At 44.3% G+C, this 10,907-nt stretch overlaps 1 long non-coding RNA gene across 1 annotated transcript; it reads left to right on the top strand.

The window, feature by feature from the left end:
• Positions 1–6,306: 6,306 nt before the first annotated feature.
• On the top strand, positions 6,307–7,979 carry LINC02630 (long intergenic non-protein coding RNA 2630). Its single transcript, XR_930822.3, has 2 exons — positions 6,307–6,465; positions 7,688–7,979. It is a non-coding gene; the product is annotated as a long intergenic non-protein coding RNA 2630 (long non-coding RNA).
• The last annotated feature ends 2,928 nt before the right edge of the window (positions 7,980–10,907 follow it).

The raw sequence follows: 10,907 nt of genomic DNA, 5'->3' as shown, positions 1-10,907 counted from the left end.
TTAATTCCAGTCAATAACATAATATGATTTTATAAGAAGGACAAAAGAAATTCATACTTTCTCATGAGTTGTAAACATGTTAAAAAATAAACAAATATTTTTGTTATGTTGAAGAAGATAGAAAGTTAGTTTCATTACACTATCACATTGTCTTACTTTCATATTGGAAGTGGTAAAACAAAAATAAATAAAAATGACGCTTCATCCATTCATTTATTCATTCAATCAATTAAGAAGTGTGTATTGAGAACTGGTGGTTGTAAAATATGCCCCCAAATCCTCTGACACTTCCCCCATCAAAGAGGTCAATTCCTCTGCCTTTGAAAAGGGATTGGCCTATGATACTGTGAATGAACATGACACAGTGGAGACGCTGCTGCTTGACTCCCAGATGCATTAGAAAAGGGGTGCAGTTGTGCAGGACTCTCTGGGGGCATGTGTCTTTGGAGCCCTAAGCTGTCATGCAGAAAGTCCAGCTACCCTGAAGCTGACATGTTAGAGGGACCACCTGGAGAGCTCAAATACAGATAGAGAGGCATACCTGAGGAACATCAGCTTCTGCAGCTCTTCAAGTCTTCTCAGCCCAGGAAATAGGCATGGGAGGCCTTTGAGATGAACCCAGCCCAGTCACCATCTGACTGCAATCACATGAGACGTCCCAAGCCAGAACCACCCAGTTGAGCCAACTCAATCCCCAGGACCAAGAGAGATCATAATAATAAATCATTGTTGGTATTGCATACCATTAACTTTTAGTGATTGGTTACACAGCAGTAAATAACTGGGGAAAGCCCCTAAGGTATGTCAGGCACTGTGTTAGGTATTAGAGTTACCCTCCCCTAATGGAGTTTAAAACTTGCTGACCCTAGCCAGGTATGGTGGCTCATGCCTGTATTTTCAGTGCTTTGGTAGGCTGAGGAGGGAGGATTGCTTGATCCTGGAGTTCAAGGCTGTAGTGAGTCACGATCACACCACTGCACTCCAGCCTGGGTAACAGAATGAGACCCCAACTCTAAAAAAAACTTTCCCACGGAGTACTCTGCATGAATATAAGAAACAGTGCCCTGGTCTCCCTGATTTTTCAGTCCAAATAGCAAATAGGAAAAGATTCATATTAACAGATACATGCCAATATAACAAAATGTAGATAAATGCTAAGTAAATGAACAGCAAACAGAACTGACTAAAAGGAGGGTGCTCTTGGGAGCTGCAGAATCAGGGAAAGAATCAGCAGGGACAAAGCAGCTGGGCTAATGTCAAGGATTCATGTGGTAAAGGTGCAGGGTGGGAAAGGCATGTTAGTCTGAGTATGATGGGGCAGCATGAGCTGGTAGGGAAGAGAGCTCTCATGCAGGGAAGAGGAGCATGAAGGAAAATCAACAAGAGGCAGAAAATCGAGAGTCACAGCAAGGCCATAGCATGGCTTTAAAAGAACTAGACTTTATTTTCTTGGCAAGAGGAAGGCCCTGAAGGTTGATGGAAGTACAGTTAGCCTGGCAGTGGAAGGAACATGGACTGGTGTGTTGAAATCAGACCACCGGAAGGGAGACCCATCAGGAGGCTCTTGAAATAATTTTCAAACACTGTAAGAAACGTCTTTCACTCTGCTACCCTCCTCTCCCATGACCTGCCCCAGCTCCTCCAAAATGTCACATAGTGCCTCTCCTGTCTGTTCCAGCACTTTCTGGTCTCTGGAGCCATGACATTCTCTTAATAACTCATGTTTTCTCATGCTGGGGACCCAGTTATGGGGAAAACTTCCCAGCAGCTTTCTGCTGAATTGGTGGGCTCATTCCATCACCAAGCCCACCGACAGCGGCTTCCCGGTGATCCAAGGAGTTCTGAGTGTTCATTTGTTTGGATTGTTTGATCCCCAGCGCGCTACACAGTATCATTAGTTCACTGATGCCTGACAAGTTTTATCCTAAAGTGAACGATACAAGTGGAGACACGTTCAAGTGTTCCCTGAAGTAGAAGCATTCCTGGTTTCTGGAGGAGATGATATGTAATAACAATTACATGGTGCTTTCATCTTCAAAGCCCTATGCAAGCATCATCTAATTAACCCTCACTACATACCTGGAAGGCAGGGAAGCATCATTAAACCTGGGTTTCAGGAGAGGAGATTGGAAACTACACATTAAATGACAAGCCCTCTACCAGAAAGTCTCAGCCTTGGTGCCAAAACCAGCAAGGAAGAACTCCTCACCCTTACTGCTAAGCTGAGGCCGAGAAGAAAAATCAACATTGAAATTTTAAAATTTATTGCAAAGGTCATATACGATAGCTTCTTGTAAAGCTTATCAGAGAATAGGAAAATAAATGGTATTCATACAGAGAGGCAGGATTCTAAGGTGCTGGCTCTGGATTTTTTACTGCCTAGCGGTGTGACCTAGCCATACTTTGAATTCCTCATCTGTCAAAGAAGCCCTATTAGTCTGTGATTCCCAACACATAACAGCCCTAAAACAATTCATGAAAAAAGTGCTCCAAGAATGAACTCTAATGAGGTCCTATGCGATACAGATCATTTTAACAGCTGGGAAAAGGTGTAAGATAGACGAGTCCTCATCCTTCCTTTTTACATGATTTCTACCTCATTCTGCCACATTTCCACCAGCAGAGCTATCCCTCATTACCACTCCAAGCAGTATGGTCAGGCTCTCTCTCTCTCTCCTCCATCAAACTTCCCCAGACACAGCCTCAGAACTCACTGATGCCAGGGCTTCGAAGCAAGTTCAGGTTTAATGGAAGCCTTCCCAGGGGGACTTTGCATTTTAACATGGACAAAAGTTCTGTTCAGCCAAACTGAAGTCTTGATTATGGTGTTCCGGCTACCGGGAACTAACTTGCAGAGGAGGTGTCTGGGATAGTGGGGCCTGGATATCATACCACCCCACATTGACAACTACCCCAATAGCAAAAGCAGCCTACTTTTTTTTTTTTTTTTTTTTTGAGATAGAGTCTCTCTCTGTTGCCCAGGCTAGAGTGCAATGGCGCGATCTCGGCTCACTGCAACCTCTGCCCCCCAGGTTCAAGTGGTTCTCCTGCCTCAGCCTCCCAAGTAGCTGGGATTACAGGCACCCACCACCACACCCAGCTAATTTTTGTATTTTTAGTAGAGACAGGGTTTCACCATGTTGGCCAGGCTGGTCTGGAACTCCTAACCTCAGCTGATTCACCCACCTCGGCCTTCCAAAGTGCTGGGATTACAGGCGTGAGCCACCGCGCCCAGCTACAGCCAACATTTTGTTAGTATTTACTGGGAGCCAACCTTTGTTTTAAAAGAAGCCTGGTGTTGTGATCAAGAGAGCATGGTCCTTGGTCTTCCTGCTGTTATGAAACGACTTTGTCTCTCTCCGCCTCAGTCTCTTCATCTCTGAAATGGGAAAATAAGGCGTATCTATCCCCTAAGGTTATTGTGATGATTAAATGAATGAATGCCATAAAGTGCAAAGCACAGTGCCAGGTACGTAATAAGCACCAAAAGAGAATGGCTATCGTTATAGACACAAACTTGTACTAACAAGCATGTGTTAATGCAACCTTATGAGGTGGGTGCTAGTCCCATTTTATGCAGAGGCTGAGGCGCAGAGATGAACGTGCTTGTCTCAGATGAATGGCTAGTCGGTGGTAGGCAGCCTGGCTACAGGGCCCAGACCTTACCACCGCACTGCACTATGGGGTCTCATGGTTTCCAGGCCCTTCCGGGGCAGCAGCACAGGGCTGGCACTTACCAGCCTGGGTTCAGGTCATAACTCGTCCACATCAAATACGTGAATGAAGTTCTCTCTTTTCTCCCTGACTTGGTATCTCCATCTTTAAAATAATATCCCCCATAAAAGCTAGCCATGAAGATCAAATGACTTGTGCAAGCAGATTTTGAAAATTCTGAAATACTCTCCCTTCAAAGGCAAGGAATTATTATCTACTGCAGCATAAACTGAAGCGAGGCAGCTATAGGCAAGGGCTAGAAGAACCCAGACTCTGAAGGCCTCGGAAGACCACCTGTGCTTCAGTGGATCCTCAAGTCATGGAGACAATTGGCCTCCATGATCCATCATCCATGGGTTCCTCCACGGAGAAACTTGGCCAGAGCTGGGTTCAGTGGGCCCGGGAGCTGGGTACTGGCAGGCCAGGAACCCAGGGGCAGACCCCATGCTGCAAACTCTACTGCAAGCCCTGCCATGCACCCCTCCCCACCACATCATGAGGTGGGAATCCTCTACCCACCCCATAAACCAGGAAACCTGTCACCAATCAGGCGCTGTGCACAGCTGTCTTTCACTCCCTCCCTGAAGTCCCTCCTGTGGCCAGGCAGCCACAGGAAGGGGCTCTTGGGACTGTGAAATCCAGAGGTCTCTAAGGAAGGTAGGAAGAAAGGGGGCTTTGCCAGGGACTGCAGGGTTCCAGTGTCCTTGGCTCCCACAACAGAAGCCGTGTCTGCCCTCCTGTTTTTTCTGTTATTGCCCAAGCCATGCTGAGGTGCCCACAGCACTGTGGGCTATCTGGGGTCAGTACCCTGGGGAGAACATGTACACACACACACACACACACACACACACACACACACACACGTCTTTGGAGAAATTCACCCTAAGTCCCTGGGGACTGGCATTCTCAGTGTGTGGCCTTTTAAATTCCCAAGGGCAATGACTCAAACTACTGTACTGGGCAGGTTAGAGGGTGCAAATAGGCATTTTTGAATGACTGACTATTTTCTAATGGCGGCAAGTCTGCTTTCACAGCTAATCACAGCTAATAGAACATGATCTACTGTAAAAATTATTATTTTTCACAGTACAAGACACAATAGCCAAGATTTGGAAGCAAACTAAGTGTCCATGAACAGATGAATGGATAAAGAAAATGTGATTCATGTGCACAGTAAAGTACTATTCAGCCATCGAAAAGAATGAGATCCTGTCATTTACAACAACATGGATGGAACTGGAGGTCACTGTGTTAGGTGAAATAAACCAGGCACAGAAAGACAAACTTTGCATGTTCTCACTCATTTGTGCAAGCTAAAAATTAAGAACAACTGAATTCATGGGGAGAATAGAAAGATGGTTACCAGAGGCTAGGAAGGGTAGTGGGGTGGGGCTGGGAGGAATAGCTAATGGATACAAAATATAGTTGGACAGAAGGAGTAAAATCTAATATTTGATAGCACAACAGGGTGACTACAGTCAACAATTTTTTGTATTTTTAAAAGTAACAAAAAGAGTATAATTGGAATGTTTGTAACATAAAGAGATGATAAATGCTTGAGGAGATGGATACCCCATTTACCCTGATGTAATTATTATGCATTGTATGCCTGTATTGAAATATCTCATGTACCCCATAAATATATACACCTATCATGTGCCCATAAAAATTAAATGTTTTGCCGGGCACAGTGGCTCACGCCCGTAATCCCAGTACTTCGGGAGGCTGAGGTGGGCGGATCACGAGGTCAGGAGATCGAGACCATCCTGGCTAACACGGTGAAACCCCATCTCTACTAAAAATACAAAAAATGAGCCGGGTGTGGTGGCGGGCGCCTGTAGTCCTAGCTACTTGGGAGGCTGAGACAGGAGAATTGCTTGAACCCGGGAGGTGAAGCTTGCAGTGAGCCGAGATCGCGCCACTGCACTCCAGCCTGGGTGACAAAGCAAGACTCCATCTCAAAAAAGAAAGCGAAAAGAAAAATTAAACGTTTTAAAAAATATGATTTTCCTATCTTGTGTTTTGGTTAACAAAAGCCACCATCTCTCCTCCCAGTATGAGAACAAACAAAGCACCCAGGACAGCCCTGGAAAGGTAGTATCCAGCCGGCTGGCTGCGTTCCATCCTCCATCTGCAGCCACGGCCCAGGTGCCAAGCTGGCTATGGTGATGAGGTCCGGGGATAATTATGCTGGCAGCGTCCATGCTGCCCCTGGGCTGTGTCACTCCGTCAGCCTGCTCATCCGCTGCCACTCTGTCGGCTCCCCTGCTTGCGATTTCCTGTCCTTGCAGCTTGATCTCACTACAATTTGCACATACTTTCCCGCTCAGGAAGAATGTCTCCATTCAAATCCCTCGCAGGATACAGTCTATTTTGGAAGCCACTTAATGGCAAAGGTGAGCAATGTGCCCAAGCTTGTACTTATTTACAGAGCCCTCCTTCCCACTGTTTTCTCCAAATGCCACCCCTGGCTCAAGGGCTTTGCCTGATCGTCACGGTATTAGCGTTGAACACTATCAAGGCTGCTCTGTGGGCCCAGCACTCCAGCAAATGAATAGAAACATAATGTTCCTGCCAAGCTGATTTATCTATCATTTAACCAGAGTGAGCGAGAGAAGAAACAAACAGTGGGAGAAGATGTCTCACGCACACTGAAGTTAGACCACTGCAAAACTGAGCCAGACGGCTTTGTTGTGCAGCTTTCTGATGCCTCCAGGGGACAGCTGCTTATCGGAGGGAGACTATTATGGGGTGAGTTTTAAGAATTTTTTTCCCCAAAATAAGGCTGCCACTCAATTTGGGACATCCCCCTAAACACAGTCCTGGTCCTGCTCCCGACAGCCTACCCACCTGCCACAATCCGGACCCACAGCTTCTCCTCTGCCACCCCATCTTGTCATTTAACCGGGGAAGAAGGCAGGTTTGGCTGAGTGAGGTGGCTCATGCCTGTAATCCCACTTTGGGAGGCCAAGGCGGGTGGATTACCTGAGGTCGGGAGTTCAAGACCAGCCTGTCCAACATGGAGAAACCACGTCTCTACTAAAAATATAAAATTAGCCAGGCGTGGTGGTGCATGTCTGTAATCTCAGCTACTCAGGAGACTGAGGCAGGAGAATTGCTTGAACCCGGGAGGTGGAGGTTGCAGTGAGCCGAGATGGTGCCACTGTACTCCAGCCTGGGCAACAAGAGTGAAACTCCGTCTCAACAAAAAACAAACAAACAAACAAACACACACACACACACACACACACACACACACACAGGAAGAAGAAGAGCTCTGTAGACCCCGGCAGGAGTATTCATCACGCCTCTGTTGTGAGAGCAGACTTTCTGCATGGTCTGGGCTCCTACATCCTAAACTAAGTCAGTGCTGCTATCTGGCATTGCTTTCCTTGGTTCACAGTTGGGAGACATTAGCACTCTTAGCTGCACTAACTTTTATTCTAAAATAAGTAATGATTACAACTTTGAAATAAGTCTAAGAATGTGGGGGTGGGGGAAGTAAGAAGAGTTTATATCAGGCAACTTCATGCAAGAATAAGGTCTTAGATAAGTCGGGTTTCAAGATCAGTGTCAGGCAGGAGGATCCCCTAAGGGGTGGTGGGGGAATCCTTCCCAGGACCTGGAGGAGCCGACAGGCACTTCATGCCCCAAAGCCACAAGGAAGAGTGTCATCCACAGCATTTTCCCCTGAAAGCAGAGCCAACTACTGATGCTAGAACAGGAGCCTTGGGACAGACCTTCCTGGAGCTTGTTGGAATTCTAGCTTAAGCCCCACAATTTATCCTTTCCTGGCCATGGGTTCATGATTCTCAAGTGGCTTCGTAGCGGGACTCACTGACGTTTCCTATTCTCATGGCCAAACATCCTAGCAGTGATGACTGAAGAGGCAAGATACAAACTGGGGCCAGGGCGTCTGCCAACAGGCAGAATTGTCTTCGCTTTGACAGCCTCTCCTCTTGTCCTCCTCCAGGTTGGGGCTGGAGATGTTCCATGCAGCATCCTGCAAGGGGAAGCAGTTACTTTATGAGAGCGATGCTTCAACCAGCTAACTGGATAGCCCTCCCTTTTGCAGCTGGTGTGGGTGAAGATGTGGAAGCTTGATTCTCCTTGGAAGCTCTGATCACCCCAGCCCAGAACCACTAGTCCCCACTTAGTCTTGGAGAGGAGGCAAGGATGTGTGTCCTCTGCGTGTAGCCTTACGGTCTGCAAATGCTTATGAAAACCTATGAAAGAGAGACTATTCATTTTAGTTCCATTTTAGAGAAAAAAAAAAAAAACCTGAAGCTTAGAACATTTAAGAAATTTTCCCTAAATCCATCTAGCTAGCAAGAAGTGGGGACAAAATGAGAGTCCACTTGGCTCTCAGATCCAGCCTCAAGTACCTTTGAGAGCCACAGGGGTTGCACAACATGGACTTCCTCTGCTAGAGTGGGAAGACAGTCTTTTTTACATGAAGAGATTAGGATAGGCTGGGCGCAGTGGCTCACACCTGTAATCTCAACACTTTGAGAGACAGATCACTTGAGGTCAGGAGTTCAAGACCAGCCTGCCAACATGGTGAAACCTCATCTCTACTAAAAATACAAAAATAGCCAGGTATGGTGGCATGTCCCTGTAATCCCAGCTATTCGGGACCTTGAACCCGGGAGATGGAGATTGCAGTGAGCCAAGATCACGCCACTGCACTCCAGCCTGGGCGACAGTGCAAGACTCTGTCTCAAAAAAAAAAAAAAAAAAAAAAAAACTTAGAATAAATTTTAGGTAATCATTAAGTGTATTTTCATTTACTGACATTGTTTGATCATGTTCTTACACCATCAAGTCTGTTTCATCTCCTCATTAGACTCTAAGATTCTCAAGAATAAGAACCATATTTCCTTTTAAATCATTTTCTTCCTTGCTTCCCTTCACTAAGGTAATTTCTGACTTGATTAAAAAGTGTCCCCAGTCTGTGTCACCTGGCAGGGCACAGCTTAGAATGCAATTGCTGGAATTTAGTTCCATATTTTTTTCATAACTTTTCTATCAAGCCAGCTGCAACTTCAATATGTGATGCATTGCTTCTGAAACCAATGTTTGCTTCTAATCATCCATATATACTTACTACCAAGAAGACTTAGGTACACGCTTAGTCCCTTAGACAAAGGCGGGGTTGGGAGACCCTAAACAAGTATTGTTATCAGAGCTCTGTGTTCTCCATACCCCGTTGGTAAAGGGCATGTGTGCTGTGTGTGGTCAAGACTTCATTCCTAACATTCTCCTGTAGTTCCACTGACTAAACTCTCATGATATTCAGTGTTGTCATCATTTGGAAAACATGTTTATACTCATACTTACGCTCCATCGTCAGCCAAGCCAATTTTGCTGTCTTTATCTTAGAATATGCAACATAAATATTAGGCCAAGCACTTCAAAAAAAGCACACAGAGTACCCTCCCAAAATTCAAAATGCAGATTTTAAAGACAGACTTTAATATATCACATATTATCGGAGAAAGGAAGACATGTCATTATCATGTTAGGGCAGGGTGTCATATTTACAATACACCATCAATAAATCAAAAGAAATTCAGTGATCCCGTGGAGTATTGGTTAAAAATCTTTCTCAAAAGTCATTTCTCAGGAAGTCATTTCACATGGATTATTTTCGTCTTGACTTGCTTCTTACTCAGAGATAGAAATTCTTGCAGGAAACTATTTTAATTGAGAACAAAGGGTATTATTCCCAAAGTTCAAGTAAAATATTTTTAAAAAGAAAAGTAAAAGTGCACGTGAGACTAAAAGGTCATTGTCCCAATTTGAAATAGACTTTCTGCACACATTCTCATTGTCAGGAACCCAGAAATATCAGCCCTGTCGACCAAAAGGAAGGCCCCTTAGTGAGGCAAGCAAATCTCAACATGAGAATACCAAGGTAGGAATGTCCAATTTCACCACAAGTTTCTGGATACTGTCTCAAGGGAAAACTTCAGAGAATTTGCACACCATCTGAATACATAAGAGCAGGCAGATCATCAATGTGGGGCAAATAAATTAGTGATAACTTTCATAGCAACAGAAAAATACTATAGCAGCAGGTCTACATGCTATGAAATGGACATTTGACTAAGCTCCTTTCTCAGGTGTCATCAGAACAATGTTTTTTTCCTCACCTGAGTGTAAATTCCTCTAATATAATTTATATTTATTTGAAAACCTAGACATTTAATAAGATATTTTATTTATTTTTATTTTTTAAAGTCAGGTATATTGATATATAATTAACATACAGTAAAATTTACCCCTTTTAGGTGTACAGTTCCATGAGTTTTGAAAATATAAAGTTCTGTAACCACCACCACAAGTACGTAGAAGGATTCCATTAGCTCAGAATGTTCTCTTAAAGACAGACTTTGATATACCACATATTATCAGTTCTCTTGTGCCTCACTATAGTCAATTCCCCTTCCCCACCTCCAGCCCAACGCAACCAGTGATCTGTATCCTGATTCTGTGTTATCCAGAATGGCACACAAATGGAATCATAAAATACATAGCACTCTGATGTGAATTGACTTTTTAATTTTTTTTTAATCTTTTATTTTAGGTTCAGGGGTACATGTGCAGGTTTGTTACATAGGTAAACTCATGTTATGGGGGTTTGGTGTACAGATTCTTTCATCACCTATGTACTAAGCATAGTACCCAGTAGGCATTTTTTTCTGATCTTCTCTCTCCTCGCAACCTCCACCCTTAAGTAGGCCCAGTGTCTGTTGTTCCCATCTCTATTTCCATGTGTTCTCGTTATTTAGCTCCCACTAATAAGTGAGAAGATGTGGTATTTGATTTTCTGTTCCCACATTAGTTTGCTTAGAATAATGGCCTCCAGTTTCATCCATATTCCTGCAAAGGACATGATCTGATTTTTTTTTTCATGGCTGCATAGTATTCCGTGGTGTACATGCACCATGTCTTATTTATCCAGTGTGCTATTGATGGGCGTTTAGGTTGATTCCATGTCTTGGCTATTGTGAATAGTGCTGCAGTGAACATTTGTGTGCATGTGTCTTTATAGTAGAATGACTTATACTCCTTTTGGTATATACCCAGTAATGGTATTGCTGGGTTGAATGGTAGTTTTATTTTTAGCTCTTTGAGGATTCGCCACACTGTCTTTCACAATTGTTGAACTAATTTATACTCCCACCAAC

The sequence above is a fragment of the Homo sapiens genome, chromosome 10, assembly GCF_000001405.40.
Source record: "Homo sapiens chromosome 10, GRCh38.p14 Primary Assembly".
NCBI lineage: Eukaryota > Metazoa > Chordata > Mammalia > Primates > Hominidae > Homo > Homo sapiens.
The sequence above is the reverse complement of the archived record's forward strand: the minus strand, read 5'-3'. Positions and strand labels throughout refer to the sequence as shown.